Genomic DNA, 17076 nt, shown 5'->3' with positions numbered 1-17076 from the left:
GATTCATCTTCACACTGTGGTCAGGACCAACTGCTTTGAGGATGGAGCTCACCTTCCACCACGACCCAGAAGCCCTTGCAGGCTGTGACCCTGTCCAGCTCTGGGCTCCTGCCTCGGGGGCTTGGCACTCTAGTCCAGGCAGAGTGTGTGCTGCCTGCAGGGCACCCCCTGCTGTGTGGGCTAAGCACGCAGCCTGCAGGATGCCTTCCTCTGCACTGACCACCCATATCACACTCATCCCACTAGCTTGTCCTCCACCCACACTGCATCCCTGAGCTGGGACACGCAGAGGACAGGTGTGATGAAGGTGCATGAAATGAGAGGCAGACAGAGAGGAAAGGAGGCACAGGAAGGATGGGAGCGAGGCAGGAAGAGTGGACAGATTCACGGGGGCTGTGTTGGACCCACTGAACACAGAGCCAATGCCCCAAGACCCGCTCACAGATGAATGGGCGGAAGCCCCATCTTTCCATCTCTGCCAGGCCGTGGCGCTGGCTGCCCCTCCTCCCAGCCAGCGAGGGGACTTGCCCGAAGCCTTGACTCCCGGCCCCTGCCCAGTTCCCTTGCACCATGCCTGCCCAGCTCAGCAGACATTGCCGGGCCGTAGAGCACATGGCCCAGAATAGTGCTGTGATGCTGATGGTGACTTTCTATCACTGGGCCACCACACTGTGTGGCACCTCCTATCCCAGAAAGGAGAAACCTGGGGATGCCAGTGCGCCAGTGCCAGTCCAGCCATAAAGACGCAGTTATGTGTGAGGAGCCAACACGCAGTGCCAGGCTGCCATTCACGCGGGCCCTGCCCACTCTATTTCCGTTGGGAGCCTGGGCTGCCCAGGGAAGCCCCAGGTCCCGCCACCTGCTCTGAGGCTCTTCGTGCAGGGCCGAAGGAAAGTCACAGGCGGTAGCGTTGCTCTGGGGACTGTCCCCCTCCAAGCTGTCCTTTCCAGGACGACCTGTGTCCCCAGCATGCAGGCTTTCCCGGCCCTGACCTGGATCCTCTCTCTGGATGCTGCGTGTGTGGGAATGCCTTGCAGCCCAGGCTCGGCTCTGCCTACACACAGTGTCACCTGCCAGGGGGCTGGCAGGGGAGCCAAGGCCAGGCCAGTGCAAGTGGGTGCACACAGCACCCTGCCCTGGCTCCATTGGGCCCCTTCCCTCCTGTGTCACCCCCTGGGTTTTGGCGGTGCCTCGTTGTGAACCCTAGACTCCATGGAGCTGGGCAGGCCGGGCCCCGCTTAGATTTCCAGGCTCTAGCCTGGCGCCCTGCAGTCGGCGTGCTCTTGGCAAACGCTCCACGCTGAGAGGGCAGGTGCCATTCAGGCCTGGTTGGATTCTGGAGCCGCGTCTCAGGACAGCTGGGGCCATGGAAGTGTCTAGAAGGGAGGGGAAACCTCCCTAGTCCGGGCTAGCCCAGACCTGAGGGTGACGGGGCCCCTCTTCTGAGGGTGACGGGGCCCCTCTTCTGAGGGCAAGGAGCCCAAGGGCCAGGAGGGGCACGGAGAGGCCAGGCCGCCACAGGAGCAGCGCACGGAGCCACGTTGCACGGTGTTTCTTTAATGGAAAGACAGCCACCGACCTCAGAAGCAGCCCCTCCTTGCGCTGGACCAGAAGGATAAGGGGAGACCTAGCCACCAGTGGGCCAGTGGGGGTGAGGGGCTTCTAGGAAAACCGGTGTCTGGGACTCTGGCGGTTGATGGTGTCATCTGCGCGGGATGCTGGGCCTCCACCTCCCAACCTCCTCCGGGACAGTACAGGTTTGGGGGCAAGGCCTGAGCAGGGCAGGCTGGGGAGACTGCTGTCCCTGGGGTTTTGTGGGCAGGGGCTGGGTGCAGGCCGGACAGACAGAAAGCAGTCCCAGCTCAAGGCAGAAGGCCAGAGGGTGTGGAGTGAAAGGGACAGGCGAAGCCAGGTTCGGAGAGATGGAGGGAACAGGCCACCAAGCTCAGAAGCGAGAAAGGTCTGAGGAAGCACAAGACACACACACACACACACACACACACACACACACACACACACACAGAAAGAGAGAGAGAGAGAGAGAGAGAGAGAGAGGAAGGACGGGGAAAGAGAGAACAGAAGGGAGGACTGGTCGAAGGGCCAGTGGAGCAGGGGTCTGGGAGGGACAGGCCATGAACTTGCAAGGGGGCTGAGGGGAGCCGCAGAGTCGGGGAGGGTTGAAAGGCTGGAAATGCATGAGGAGGAGGAACAGAACATGTGTGTCTGGACAGGTGCGGCAGCCCTGGCAGAGCCCACTGTCCCCATTCTTATGGACCGCCTCCTGGCTGCTGACCCAGGGACTGTTCTCCTAGGACTGGAGCCTTGGACACTTGGGTTTGGGAGTGAACGAGAAAAAAGCTTCATGGGGTGCCTCTGGGTGGCTGTGGTGGGAGAGCAGGGGCAGCTCTGAGGCCAAGGGAACATGTGATGGGGGCCGGGCCTTGCGCCCACCTGCACCCTTGGGAGCCAGGGAGAGGCGGTGATGGGGCATCGAGCTGGGGTCAGGGACCCGAGGTGGGGGGCTGGGTTGGACGCAGCTGGGCCCTGGCTTAGCTTCCTGGCTCTGCCTCCCCATCAGGATGTCTGGCTGTGTTCCCCAGAGACCCCCACTGAGGCCCCGCGGTGGCTGCAGCTGCCTCTACTTTTTGTAGTTGCCAAACTGGATGGCCAGGCGGTCAGTGACGCAGCGGAAAGTGGCCGGCTGCACCTCCCAGTAGGGCACGGGGTTGTTGAAGAGGCTGATGCCGTTGTAGTAGGCCCGCTTCACCCCGAAGCCCATGGGACAGAAGTCGTTGACACCCACTTTGGTGATGTTGTTGGAGTGCAGATAGACCACCTGAAGGCAGAGAGGCCGGGTCACGGCAGGCCTCCCTCCCTCCACGCCAAGCCCGCTGCCTCCAGGAGGCATTTTGCTGTTGCCTCTGCACCCTACTTCAAGGGCCACACCAGAGGCTCCCCGTTGTTGGGAGGAGCAAACCAAGGCATGGGCGTGTTATTTGTGTGGGTGTCAGCCAGGATTAAGGCACTGGATGTGACCAGGGACAAGGATGAGGGTCTCAGGTGGGTCAGGTTGAGGACATGTGGGGGCGGGGCTGGGGTAGAGGTGTGTTTGGTGGTGTGAGGTGGAGGAAAGGTGGCCTGAGCCTCGGGGGAGCACCCTCACACTCCATGGGGCATGAGAGGAGAAAGAGCCCTTGGGATGCCCTCCTCTTTCTTCCAGTCAGCAGAGGAGCTCGCCCTCTAGCAGCCCCTCCAACTCTCTGGAGCCACCGTCTTGCTGTCTCTGGGAGGAGCGGAGGTGGGCAGGCGAGGCGCCTGCTGGGTTGGGCTGGGAGCCCAGTGCTGGTGAACATGACAATGGCCACTAGAGGGCGCACTCGGCCCAGCATGGGCATGGCCTGCGCGGTGCTGGCTCGCAGCTGGTGCGGATGGGGGTGCTCCAAACACTTGTGGATGGAGCAGGGCTGGGCAAGACCAAGATCACCCACCTGGTTGCGGGCCAGGCCAGGGATGGAAGCTCCCGATAGAATCCCAGGCAAGACCCTGCTCCCCCTCGTCAGCCTACTTCCTGCCCTGGGCGGTCACTGTCTTGGCACAGATCTGTGCACTCCCACGCCCACAGTTTCTCGACTCCCTGGACTCTGCCACATCTTTCTGGTGTCCGACCCACCTGGAGACCCTCGGGTCCAAGAGCTACCAGGCTGCCTTGCTCGGTATCCACCATGGAGCCCCTGCTCCCTGCCTCCTCAGCACCAGCTGGGAGCATCAGGACCGCTCCCTTGCAGATGCCCAGAGCCGGTCGGGAAGGAGGGCCAGGGGACTGAGGGACTGCCCGGGGACACACACGCCTCCCCCAGCCCAGCCTTAGGGAACCTGGCTGTGCATGCCCAGCTCTCACCTGGAGGAGCTTGAGGTCTGGGAGCCCTGAGGGCACCCTGGCCAACTTGTTGTTGTCCAAGTGGAGCTCCCGGAGGGTGGGCAGGAAGCTCAGGCTCCCGTTCTCGATCATCCTGATCTGGTTGTGGCCTAGGCCCAGCCTGTGAGCGGGAGAATGACACGGACTCAAAGGCTGGAGGTAAGGATGGGGGGCTGGGCGCGAGGGGCCACACAGCACTGAGGGACTCTGGCATCACCCTTGGGCGGTGCCCTGCTGGCCTCACCTGTACAGCTTGGAGTAGCGAAGCAGGTCCTCCAGTTCGATGGCCTGGATTTTGTTGTGGTCTAGGTGGAGTTCATTCAGGGTCTCAGGGAGGTCTGCCAGGAGAAGAGGGCACAGGGGAGAATGCAGGTGCTGAGGGCAGGGGCCCTAGCTCTGCCCCAGGTGGCGGGAGGGGACTGTTGAGCCTTTCCCTGAGTAGATCGGGCCCATCCAGAGCCCCCACCCTGGCCATCTGTGCTGTTGGGGGTGAGGCAGGCAGGCGTGCAGGAAGAGTGGGCTTCCTACCTTTGGGGATGCCAGTCAGCTTGGCCTCTGAGATGCGCAGGTAGTTGAGCTTCAGGCCATCGAAGGCTCCAGGTTCAAAGCCACTGTTCTCCAGTGGGTTCCCGCCCATCTCTAGGGGAGAGACCTCATTAGCCCGGGAGCCTGGTGGTCCCTGCACAGCCCTGGGTCCTGTCACTTCCGGGCCAGTGTGGTGGGCCCTGCTACCTGCCGGCTGCTCCCGTCTCCTGAAAGCAGTTCTGCTAATTTACCGGGCTAATTGCAAACTCCTAGCTGTTCAGGACTGCTAGCCCCAGGACTGCTAGCTCCAGGGGCAGCAAGAGGAAAGGGAGGAGTGCCAGAGATGAAGATGGGGCTCCCGGAAGCCACCCGGCCCCTCTGGCCCAGTCTTCTCTTTAGCCGTGGTGATCGCCTGCATGGAGGATTTGCCAAGAAATCCATGGATTTTCTTTTGACCGTTCTCACCATACTCTTTCTTGAACTGAGCCTCTAAAGGTATCCCTTGGTCTCCCTTCCCCATGCCTCGAGACAAGGCTCTGGAATGTTCTGGGAGGCCCTCAGCTCACCGATGCAGTTCATGTTCCGGAGCCCGCTGAACACTCCCTTGGGCACCTTGCGGATGCGGTTGTCGTGGATGCGGAGCTCCACCAGGGAGCTGGGTAGGTTGGGCGGGATCTCCACCAGGTGGTTCTTGGAGATGTAGAGCTTCTGCAGCTTCCGCAGTGGGCTGAAGGCCTTCTCATGGATCTTGGAGATCTTGTTGTTCACCAGGACGAGGGCCTGAAGCAGGGTGGGCGGAGGAGGTGAAGGCACAGACTCCCCACCCCACCCGCCCCTCTCTCCTGCCTTCCTGTGCCTCCCCAGCCCACTGGGCCTCGAGGAGGTTCAGTCCATGCTTGTGAGCAGAGTGCAGGGCAGGAGGCAGCACCCAGGCCCGGTCCTGAGCCCCAGCAGTGCCACCACTGCCTTGCCGCTCCAAGCCTCAGTTTCCTCACACGCACACTGGCTACAATGAAATCCGTTCTCCTCTGTTGCTGGGAGGAGTGGACGTGATGAAACGTTTTCAGCCACGAAGGGAGCCGAACTGAGCGATCCGGTCCTGCAGCTGTGGTTGCTCAAACCCACATGAGTGAGCCGCAAACCCGGGAGCTCCCATCACGGCTGGCTCCAGGCTTCACCCTGAAGCCCCACGAGTCCCCGAACCCCTCTCATACCCCACACGTCCACGCACATGCACCCACCCGGACCCCTGCCCTCTGCTGTAGGCCTGCTGGTTCCTCCCAGCTCCTTACGTAGAGGTGCTGGAGACCCTTGAAGTCATCCTTGCGGAGCTCGGAGATGTCGTTGTTCTGCAGGTCCAGCAGCGTGGTGTCAGGGGAGATCTCTTTGGGCACAGACTTCAGACCTAGGGGCCCCACCCCCATCACCAGCATGAACTTGAGACCTAGGGGCCCCACCCCCACCACCAGCATGAACTCGAGACCTAGGGGCCCCACCACCATCACCAGCATGAACTTGGAGCCATCCAGCCGACTAGCCCCACTGGTAGGGAGGACCGGGGACACACACACAGGGACACTGACGGGCACACGGGGATGCCACCACAAGTGGGCACAAACTGCACAGCTCACAGCCAGACGGCTGGACCCCTCCTACACTTACATCATGCTCGCCACCGTCCCACAGGACCAGCATGTGTCCCCTTCAGAAGGGGCTCTCAGGCTGCACCTGAGCCTCCCTGCATGCCCCGCTCCCCATCACTCAGGGACAAACCCAGGTCGGAGCACTGAACCACCCGCAGGTGGCAGTGGCAGCCGAAAGGACACATGGCGCTGTAGGTGGGTGTGACAGAGTCCGGGTCCAGGACGCCCGAGGTGTCAGCGCCCGAAGCTTCCTCATCGTTCATCATGAATGGCCCATCGTCCAGGGTGAAGTCCCAGAAGCCTCTCTGCTCAAAGGGCAGGGCCTGGCTCAGGGCCAGCAGAGACACGAGGCGCCACAGGGGCCACATGGCGGATGGACCTGGGGGAAGAGGCGAGGGGATCATCAGCACCAGCACCCACCTGTCTTCTCCATGCCAGGGGCTGGTGTTCCGCGTGTGTGGTGGCACTGCGTTCCCATCCCTCACCAGGGACGGCCAGACCCTGGAGCGGGAGGCGGAGAGGGCGGAGTGTGGGCAGAGGGCTCCAGGCAGGAAGGGAGTGGATGCTGCTGGCAAGGAGGGTGCCCCCTCCACTCCACTCCCTTCACTGCTTCCACTACCCCCCTCCCCATCCCGGACAGGACTTGGCTTAATCAGGCGATGAAATGTCTCCTCATCAGCAAGTCTGCAGGCCCCCACGCCTCTGAGTCTGCCAGAAGCCTGCTTTAGGGCGGGGGCGTCCATGAGGCTGCGTGGAGGAGGTGGAGGAGGAATCCTAGCCATTGGCCCTCAAGGGCTTTGAAGAATTCACTTTTGGGGACATCACTGTGGCCTCCTACCCGGGCCGATCCTTCCTTTGAGTTCTGGGCTCAGGGCAGCGTGGATGAAGTTAGTTGAGTGCGGCGACTCTGAGTTGCTTCCTCCCTCCACCCTGCCCACGTTTCTCAGAGACCCTCTAAGGCCAAGGTAGGGAGGCAGGGCGGAGAAAGAGGGGGTATCCTTGGAGGCCGTGGGTAAAGTTGGCTGAGGCAGCACTGAGTGGAGGCCCCCGAGGTGGAGGCCGTGGCGCCCCCAACACTGCCCCTGGGCCTTGGCTTCCTCCTCTGGACCACCCGCCCCAGCCCCCCGCCCACACCGCCTTGGCCCAAACAGCCCTGGAGCTCCCAGATCTGCTCGCACCCTTCCTCCCTGCCCACAGCCTCGGCAGCCCAGAGAGGCCCCCCAGGGGAGCAGGCTGCCGCCAGGGTGGCAGGGCAGGGTCAGGCTTGCCTGAGGCCCCCCAGGCCGAGGCGGCGAGTGGGAGTGGAGGCGAAGCAGCCCTGCCCGAGCCTGCCCCCAGCACCCACCTCTGCTTGCCTCCTCCCTCCTCATCAGACACGGTCTCCCGTCCAGAGGCAGCCGGGAATGTGCCCTACAGGAAGAGGCTGGAGCCCTGCCTCTCTCACCACTTCATCCACCCTGACTCTCCAGCAAAGGCCCAGGTCTCATCCCAGCCTCACCTTCCCCATCTGTTAAGTGGGAATAAACATGCCTGCCCTGCTTGCCACCCAGCCTGGGGTGGCCCTCGGTGCATCTGGAGATGGGGAGCCCAGCTGGGCAGCAGGGGCCTCTGGCAGACCTGAAGCAGTCGCACGCCCAGGAGACCCTCACTTAGGGCCAGTACTAGCTGGGGAGGGGCTGTCTGGGGCTCCAGCAGAGCGAGGTGAGCCCCCTAAGCCCAGCTGCTGGTTGCAGGGGTCTAAGGAGGCCGTGGGGAGGTGGGGGCTCTGCCCCCAGGCCAGCACCCTATGAGCAGCCCCGCCCTGCCCGATGCTTCCCCAGTTGCCCTGGGGGCTGGGCTGGCTGCCCGGGGCTGCCGCTTTGGAGTCCTTGCTACCAGCGGGCCGGGGGCCTGAGGCCACTTCAGGGCCAGGTTGGGTCTGAGCACAAGCCCAGGAGAGGGTTGGGATGGAGGCCTGTCCTGTCGCCCCCATGCAGCTCCTCGGGTGCTCCAGGGAGCATCTGCTGGCACGCGTCCCCCCTGCATTGGCATCCCCCCTAGAAGCCACCCATGCGCCCTCCCACACCTGTGGACAGAGGGGCCTGTGGTGAGGCTGTGGCTATAGCGGCTGCCAGGCCTGTGGAGTGGCCTTTCCGCAGCCAGCCCCGGAGCCCTCCTGAGCCCACAGGCCCTGGGCCACACTGCAAAGTGGGAGTCGGAGCCCAAGGCTTAGCTCAGCTTCCCCCTCATGTGGAGCTGGACTTCATGCTGACCCCTGGGGTCACCAGGAGGCCCCTGCTGGGGCAGCACCGAGCCTCCCTCATTCTTTTGAGCCTTGAGATCCCACAGTTGCAGCCCAGGGCCTGCCAGCCTCAGGCCGGCCCAGCAGAACCTAGGGGAACCGCCCGGAGGGTCTTGGCCCCCAAGTAGGGAGAAGGCTCAACACTCACCTACCTGGATGGTGTTTCCCTTCCTCCAGGGCAGGGCAGGGCCTCCGATGCCTGCTGCCGCTGTAGGACCCTCTCCCAGTGCCAGTGGACACCCGGGGGCAGAAGGAGGAGGAGGAGGAGGAGCAGTGGGAGAGAACAGGAAGGGCAGGGTGGAAGCAGGAGAGCAAGATGGAGTGGGGGAGGGAGGAGACTGCCCTGCCCCTCCTTGCCGATGCCCCTGCCAAAGCCGCTACCTCCCAGGGAGAGTGAGTCAGGGCTGGGACACCCCGCCAGAGCCCTGGCAAGCTCCAGGGTGGGCAGTCCACCTGGACAGGTAGGGTTGGGGTGGTCCGGCTGGGCCTACGGGAGGCTGTGGGGAGGGGCTGGGGAAGGCCGAGGGGACAGAGGACCATCTGACCATGGCCAGCTTGGAGCCCCCCAGGACCCACGCATTGGCCTGGAGGAGGACTCTACAGGGACTCCTGCCCCGGGGCAAGGGGTCTCCCCAGGAGCTGGGACTTCCCTGCAGGCCCTCCTGTTAGGGAATCGGGCCCTCCACCAGGGCAGGGGGCACAGGCACAGGGCAGGCCAGTCACGGCAAGACTGGCCATCGGGGTCTCAGGCGGGTTCCCGGGACCAGCTGTGGGGCAACGAGGGCTCTGGAGGCAGGCTGCCTGATACAGTAGGATGTCTGGGGGGTCTCCAAGAGACTGAGAAAGGGGCAAGGGGAAGAGGTTCCCTCAGAGCGGGGAGGGAGGCTGAGGGCTGGAAGGCCCATACACCCGGGCCCCGTGACAGAGGCAGAAGGACAAGGTTTGGCTGGTTTTCCATGGCTCATGGCTGTGCCCAAGCAGTGGGCAGGCTGGAGGGGCGGGGGCCGGGCAGGCTTCCCGGCACATCCCTCATTTCCCCTCAAAGAACTGGCACAAAACTGAGACCTCTCCCGAGGAAGGGGCAGGCTCCGTGTCTGAGCCCACAGGAGGCAGCAAGGGGCCCATGAAGTCAGAGGGAGCCAGGGGAGCCTGGGGGGAAGGATAGGATCCCCTGGAGCTGGCCTGATGAGTATCCCCATTTTATGGACACAAAAGCTAAGGCCGAGAGAGAGGCTCTGATTTCTCCCAAGTCACTCAGCCTGACTTGGAACTCAGCTTTGGCGCCTCCAGGCCCCGCCTGAGCTCTCAGCTGTGCTCCTCAGCCACAGGGCTCCAGCCATGTCTCTGGGCCTGTGAGAGCCTGAATGCCCAAGACTGGGGGTGGCAGTTTGGGAGGTCCTGGCAGTATAGGCTCAGCTGTCCTCCCAAAGCCTGGCCCCTGCCTTCTCCCCACCACCTCACACCAAGCCCCTCCCTCCTGCCAGAACATGCACACACACACACGTACACACATACACACACAAACACACACACAGATGCACACATACACGCTCACATACACACACGTGCACACGCACACACCTATACAAAACACATATGTACACACGTGCACACACACATGCACACACCTATACAAAACACATATGTACACACATCCACATGCATCCACATACATGCACACATCCACACATATACGTGCACACACCTATACACACATGTACACACATATACATGCACACACCTAGACACTCACACATGCATACCCATGTATACACATTCACATACACATATGATACACATATACACACATATATACACAGATGCACACACACTCATGCACACATCTATACACATACATGCACATGTACATCCACATGCGCACATGCATGCATGTATACACACATGCACACATGCACACATACACACATGCACACACATGCACACACACGCACACATACACATTTATACACACGTACACACACACACACATGCATACATGCACACATACATACATACATACCTGCACATATACACCTGTATACACGCATACACATATGTACACACATACATGCACACATCTATACACACATGCATACACACATTCACATATACATATGTATACATATACACATACATACACATATATCCACACATAGATAAGGCAGGCGGGGACCCCAGCCCAGGAAGCAGGAATACCCCATAGTCAGATCCTGTGAGACCCACAGCAAGTCCCTCCAGTCCTCAACTCTCCACCACCACAACTGAGGCCTCTGGGCCTCAGTTTCCCTTCATTGGCCTCTCTGGGTGTGTCTTCAGGGACTTCAGGGAGGGTTTCAAGCCCCACCAAAGTGTGCCCTGAGCTCCCTGGATACCATCTCTTTAGAGCAAAGGACAGGGGCGGCAATGGCATAAGCCCCAGGTTTGGCGACCGCAGGTGTGAGTGAGGGAGGAGGCTGGGCTTCCTGGAGCCTCCGCCACCACCCCAATAGGGCCCTCCTTGTCTGCCCCTCTGAAAGCTAGCGCAGTCCTCTGCACTGGATTGCTCGAGGTCACAGCCAAACAAGATGCGTTGGCAGCCTCTGAGAACATGGAGGGTCCGTGCCAGGCATTCAGGCCAGGCCAAGGGCGGCGGGAGCAGGGCTTGAGGTCTGGCGGGCCCTGGGAGCTCGCCTGCAGATGGTGTGGCTCACAGCTGCCAAGTGGCAGACGCCGGATGCTGTCTCCGCAGCCTCAGCCCTGGGCGTCTGCCCCCCTGAGCAACCCGACCTGAACTCTGACACATGTGCCACCTTCCACGCAGCCCTGCGGGGTCCCCGGGACTGTGTCCTTCCTCCCCTCCCCTCTGGCCTCCAAAGCCTTTTGGGCCCAGTTTCAACCAGCAGCCTGGTGCTTGTGCCCCCGCTGACACCCGGCCTGCCCCCTGCCACTCTCCCAGGCCCCAGTCCACCAGTCCCTCCCCGCCGATGGCTCCAGCCTGTACTTGGGCATCAACCAGAGAGGGGATGTGTACCCTCCCTGGCCTTGCCAAAGCCCGGCGTGTGCGTTCATCTGTGGGAGTGGCTGCCTGAGGGGCTGGGGGCTGGAGTGGGGAGGGGTGGACCTTGTGCCACATTCCAAGCCCCTGCCGTTGCCGGAGCATGCCCTTCAGGCAGCCACGCTTGGGCGTCTGCTCCCCTTGCAGCCACGTGTGGAGGGGCTGGGAAACCCCGGCTCATCTGCTGCTCAAATCCTTTCCAGAGGTTTTCTGGCAGGGTGGCGACAAGGGTGGAGTTCTCCCTTGATGCGCCCAGCCACCTCCCACCTCTCTGTGCCAGCCCTTTGCAGCCTGTGGCGCCCATGTCAAGGTCCAGCCTGTCCCCACAGTCGGCGGAGTGCGGGACTCAGCCCTTCCCACTGTGCGCTCCTGGTCCTCTGCACACGGACTACTGCTGCCCCCTCCCACTCTCCGAAGAGATCCGGGGCCTCCTGCTAGAGTCTCCAAGGAAAAGGGAGGATGCTGTCACCTCTCAGAGGCAGAGCAGGGGACTCATGTGATTTCTTTACTTAGCATCCTGCCGTCCCCCGTTGACTATAAGAAGGAAGCAATGCTCTTAGAACTTGATGAAGGGGTAAACTGAGGCTCAGGAAGTTGGCCCCAAACTCTTGCCCAAGGCCACACGGTGAGGAAACAGCAGAGCTGGGGCTGCACACACTGTCTGTCTGTCCGTCTGTGTCCTTGCCCCCATGTCTGGACCCACCCTCTCCCAATGCACACAGTGCCACAGGCCCCAAAGCTGACACGCTTCACACTCTCGGGGCTGTGCAGGGGGCTCCCCTGGAAGCATGGCCCTTCTGAGGACCATCAGTAGCTCCCTATGGCCCACAGATCCAGAAGCCCCTCCTCAGCCCCAACACAGCCAGCAGGGCAGCCCCCGCCCAGCCTCTCACCTCTGCCTCTGTCTGCAGGGAGTCTCCTGGAAAAGCCATCGTCTCCCCAGGCGAGCACTTCAGGGCCCCAGGGAAGGTGTTCCCGGCCTGCCCCCCAGAGCCTGGGGCCCTGCCTCCCTCCCTCCCTGGTACAGGCCCACCAAGGCCAGGAGGGGAGGGGAAGGTTTCCTGCAGCCCCTCCCTGCCGCAACCCGCTCTCTGCCGGGGGCTCAGGCTGGGCTGGGATTAGCCTCCTTCAGCCAGCCAGGGTGGCCCACAGCCTGCTTAGCTTCAGGCTCCTGGGACTGCTGGGCTCCCATGGGTGTGTGTCTCTTTGCATGAGGGCAGCCTCCAAGAACCATGGGATGGCAGTCAAGGCCAAGCAGGGACTCAGACTTCCAGAGGATAGAAGTCACACTGGCTTCCCAGACTTCCCCTGCCTCCAGGGACAGGGCTGCCTTCTAATCTTCTGGCCACCCAGGAGTCTGCCCGCCATGCTCCCCTTGGCCCATCTGAACACCTCAGGGACCAAACAGGACTGGGATGGCCAGCAGAGGCAAGTTCAAGAGGCCCACAGAGTCCGTTGGGCCCCTGGTCCTCCAGCTTATCTCAGGCCAGTGTTTAAGTGGAGCTCAGGCTTAAGATGCAGTGGACCAGGAGAGTTCCATGCAAGAAGGCTGGCTAGAGCCCCAGGCCCCTAAGCCTCAGAGATGAGCCTCATGGGAATGGGCAGCACCTTCACCAGGCCTGCCAGGGAGCCGGGACCTGACCCTGCCCCTTGGGCTGGCTGGGATCAGAGCTGCGCAGGTGGGAAGCTGGGAGTGGGAGGGTTCTGCAGTCCTCGGAAGAGCCAAGGCTGGTGGCCCCTCCATAGCCACCCCAGAGGCTGCTCTGACCTAGAGCCATGACGGGGCAGGGGAAGAAGGCAAACAGCGAAACAGCGAAGGGGGCAGCTGGGATGGTTCCCAGGAGTCTAGAGTCCCAGAAGGGGCTTCTGGCTGTGGGATTCAAGTGGTGGAGGGGATCTTCTGGCCTGGAAGGGGACCTGGGGAAGGAGGAATGAAGCACAGGCCCCACCCCTCCAGAGGAGGTGGCCCCAGGCCTTCCCCAGGGAACCCTGGGAAGCTGGTTCTTTCTGGAAGGCTGCAGAAGGGCCTGGCCATGGGTCCTGGAGGCCACTTAGGCTAGGCGGGCCTCAGGCCAGGAGGACTGAGCCATGCGCCCTCCCCACAGCGCAGCCCCTCTGCACACACCCCACAGCTGGTCCCTCTAAGACTTGCGGAAAGGGCTCTGAGTGGCCGAGCTGTGGCCCCTGATCTCCCAACCCAGCATCTGAGCAGAAGAGGACAGGAGCTGGGGCACTGATCGCCCCAGGCCCGGTCGGCAGGGTGGGGGCCAGGGCCGGCAGGATCCCGGGTTGCGCTGCCTTCCGAGGGAGCCGGTGCCCACCCAGCGGCCTGCAGCCCAAGGCAGGGTGCCCTGGGAAAGCCACCGCCACCCCCAGCCCCTCGGTGTGAGCAAGACCCCCAGCTGGTGGGTCCCCACCCACCAGTGGGGCTCCCAGGCCTGTCGGGGGCTCGGTGGTGGGCCTGGATGCTAGGGGGGCAACGTGCGGCAGGGACCAAGCTCTCCGGCCCACAGATGAGTGGGAGGGGGTCGTGGTGGGCATGGGAAGACATTTCCGACAAGCAGGGGTGTTGGGGGGTGAGCAAGGCAGGGGAGGGGCCCTGGCAGGTGGGGTGCCAGGGACCCCAGGGCTGGGGCTAGGCCTGTGGGTGGGGCGTGTGCTGGGGATTCTGTGGGCCGAGGACATGTGACTCCCGGGCAGGCTGGAGATGCTGGGGGGTGGGGGGTGGGGGGTGGGCCCGGGAAGCACAGGAGACGGCAGGTGGGGAGGTCCTCATCCCACCTCTATACGGGGTGGCAAGGACTCAGAAGCCCTTGCTGAAGGCTCTGAGTGCTAACTGTCAAGTGTGAACTCATTACAAACCCCTCCTCTGGGGACTTGGCGCTGTCACTGGAAGGGACACGCTATAGCTTTGTTTGAGTGACTCTGGAATGTTGCTAAAGACAGGAAACTCATTCTTGCCTTGGAAACACCCCCCTTCCTTTCCCAGACTCCCCATCTATGCGTTGGTAGGGTTAATGCCCACTGCCGTACGGGTCCTTGGGGCTTGAAGGTGGGCCAGGGAGGCCAGGGCTGCCACCCACAGCTGGCCAGCTTGCCATGGGAGCCCTCTCTGCTCCCTGGCTCGCAACCTGCTCCCACCGCCCAGCCCTGGTGGCTTGGAGGCAGCCCTGCATCTTCCTTTCAATATACCCACACGGGCTTGCCCTCAAAGGCTCACCATGCTGGCCCACAGTGGCCATACATGGGCATGCTCCGCACCAAGACATCCATGCTCATACACCAGCTCTCCTGGGGTGCGGCTGGCACCGGCGGCTGGGTGTCACCAGGAGGTGCTCACCCGCACCCCTGGGCGCTGGTCCCCGGGAGCCTTTCTGGCACGGGGGCAGGGGGGCTGAGCATCTCCAGCTTGTCTCAGTTCCAATTAGTTGCTATAGGGCAGAGAGCTGGCAGGCCAGGGAGGGGCGAGGGCCCAGAAACAGGACCCCCTGAGGATGGGACCTGAGCAGTCTGGCAGCCAGGACAGCAGGAGAGAGGCCTGCCCACCAAGACAGACCACTGGAGACTGATGTACCCTGTGCCCTGCAGATCCCTGGGCCCCCTGCTCTGCTCAGCAGGCGCTCAGGCACCCAGCCCCGCCCATGGAGCAGTGAGGGGGCGCTCCCCTCCGTGGGCCTTCCAGGGCACTCTCTCGCTCCCTCTCCTGGGTCCCTTGGCAGGCCCCTCTGGGACCCCAAGCCAGGTCCGCCCTGGGGAGCATGGCACAGTTGCCTGATTTTCTCTCCTTCCCCTCCACACCCATTCTGAGTCCCAGTCCAAGGGGGTCCTGGAAACAGACAGGGCTGAGCCACCCAGGCACCCCCAGTCAGGGCCCTTGCAGCCAGGGCTCCCAGGACCCAGACTTCTCACAGAGGATGTAGAGGCAGAGCATTAACCTGGGGGTGAGCGAGCGAGGAACATCTGGGCAGGGTGCCTGGGGTGTGCCTGGGAAACTAAGTCTTTCAGCCCATGCCAAGGACTGGCCTCAGGCAGTGCAGCGGAGGACTGCTCCTGGGTGCTGAGCTCGGTGGGCGCTGGGCGGTCCTCCCCGATCCGACCCAACCCGGGCCAGGCGCCAAGCCCTGGAGCAAGGAGGCGCCTGGGCAGAGCGAGGCTGAGGGAGTGGAGCATGCGCCTGGGACTTGCAATGATGAAACAGGGCCATTGGCAAAGCTGGGGTACCAGTCACCCAGCCACGCTCTAGGGTGGTAGCCAAGAAGACGGACCCCGAGCGGGAGGCAGAGAGACAAGAGGTGGATGAAGCAGAGCAAGGTCAGAAGGGAGAGGGAGAGGAAGGGGTGAGGGAAAGGTGCCTGGAGGGCGGCGAGACGAGGCAGAAGCCTGACAGGGACCAAGGGGGCCGCAGGGTGGCGATGAAGGGGCGTGGATCAGCAGCCTACAGAGAGCACCGGGGAAATCTGTGGACACCCTCGCGGCACTGGGGACAGCAGGACCAGGGCTTGGGACAGCGGAGGCAGCAGAGCCAGGGGCATCTCTGGGTTGCTGAGGAGGCAGCTTGAAGCCAGCCCTACCTGGAGAGGGGAGGCGCCAGGCGCAGGCTGACTAGTTGGCGGGCTGGGGTGGTGGGCCGTCCGCACGTCTATCTGTCCGGTGTGTCCGGCGGACCGAAAGCAGCTACTCACTCCTGGGCAGTTTGTGGAGAGAGGGAGACAGAGGCGGCGGGCGGGAGGCTAAAGGCTGGGCAGGCGGGCCGACGGGGAGGGGACAGCGGGGAGAGGGCGGGGAGGGAGGAAAGGAGGGAGGGGGCTGGTGGGGCGGAGAGGGCGGGCGAGCAGGAGGGGGCAGGCTTCCCGGCCCCCCTGGCAGCTTCAAAGGGAGCAATTTTCTTGTAGACGGCTGGACTAGCTGAGCCCCCGCCCCCTCGCCCCCACCACCTCCCCCCCCCTCCCCCGCCTGGGGCAGACAGCAAAGGAACGGACACACTCGCACTCACTCAAACAAGGACCCAGAGAGTCAAACTTTCCACTGCCCAGATGGGGACACTGAGGTGCTGGCTGGCATCTCGCCAGGCAGAGGAAAGAGAGATGGAAGAAAGACGAGGGGGAGGCGGCCTTGGGCTGCTAGGCCCATGAGTGGCCCCTGGAATTTGGTCCTGAGCCTGCCAGGAACCTGCTTGGGCCTAAGCAAGGAGGTGGTTTCTCCAGGATCAGAGAGGTAGCTGTTGTGGATTTCTGGAAGGACTTCATGTAGGCTCCTGGCGCCCTGTGCCCTCCCTTCCACTCCAGACTTTCTTCCCTTAAAAAGAGGGCCCGATCCGGCTGGTGGTGGCAGGACGGGGCAGGGGGCTCCCCAGCTTGCCTGCCCTGAACTGATTCAGAGACGAAGGATCCAGCGAGTCAGTCTTCTTGCTCAATCCCTGCAGGTCCCCTCGGACATGAGAACCACTCTGTGGGTGGCCACTTCCTCTGGGCTCAGCCCTGTGCTGGTCACTTACGGGGGCTAACCGGGTTACCCCACCAAGACTCAGCCGCTTCCTGAGGGCCCAAATGAGTCCAGTTCCTCCAGTGGCTAGAGCCCAGGTCCTTAGTACGACACTGCCCCCCTGTCCCGTAGTGTCCCCTTCTTCCCTCAGCAAGAGCAGCTCCTGAGACACAGGGGTAAGAGTTTAGATGGAGTG

At 62.7% G+C, this 17076-nt stretch overlaps 2 protein-coding genes across 5 annotated transcripts in view, besides 2 other annotated features; one reads left to right on the top strand and one right to left on the bottom strand.

The window, feature by feature from the left end:
• On the bottom strand, positions 1538-16104 carry BGN (biglycan). 2 transcript variants are annotated; one of them, NM_001711.6, is made up of 8 exons: positions 15971-16104; positions 6215-6463; positions 5734-5846; positions 5008-5221; positions 4445-4555; positions 4161-4254; positions 3899-4037; positions 1538-2836 (listed from the first exon to the last, which is right to left on the bottom strand). In NM_001711.6, exons 2-8 carry the CDS (start codon positions 6450-6452, stop codon positions 2639-2641), a joined length of 1107 nt encoding a protein of 368 aa, NP_001702.1. In that variant the 5' UTR covers positions 6453-6463; positions 15971-16104; the 3' UTR covers positions 1538-2638. The 2 variants fall into 2 exon arrangements, with proteins under 2 accessions (NP_001702.1, XP_016885213.1); XM_017029724.3 differs by lacking the exon at positions 15971-16104 and having other exon boundaries at positions 6215-6467.
• Positions 3417-3466: an enhancer, noted in NCBI's record as "active region_30036". NCBI's record gives its function as "activates an Ori minimal core promoter by ATAC-STARR-seq in GM12878 lymphoblastoid cells {active_cell/tissue: GM12878}" and the evidence as "EXISTENCE:reporter gene assay evidence [ECO:0000049][PMID:35858748]".
• Positions 3547-3646: an enhancer, noted in NCBI's record as "active region_30035". NCBI's record gives its function as "activates an Ori minimal core promoter by ATAC-STARR-seq in GM12878 lymphoblastoid cells {active_cell/tissue: GM12878}" and the evidence as "EXISTENCE:reporter gene assay evidence [ECO:0000049][PMID:35858748]".
• HAUS7 (HAUS augmin like complex subunit 7) overlaps positions 15619-17076 on the top strand; it is a 47798-nt gene continuing 46340 nt past the window's right edge. For all 3 annotated transcript variants that reach the window (NR_073156.2, NR_169631.1, NM_001385483.1), the window contains exon 1: positions 15619-15710. The gene's annotated coding sequence lies outside the window, so the exon portion shown is untranslated. The remainder of the gene's footprint in view (positions 15711-17076) is intronic.

The sequence above is a fragment of the Homo sapiens genome, chromosome X (genome assembly GCF_000001405.40).
Source record: "Homo sapiens chromosome X, GRCh38.p14 Primary Assembly".
Classification (NCBI taxonomy): Eukaryota; Metazoa; Chordata; class Mammalia; order Primates; family Hominidae; genus Homo; species Homo sapiens.
The sequence above is the reverse complement of the archived record's forward strand: the minus strand, read 5'-3'. Positions and strand labels throughout refer to the sequence as shown.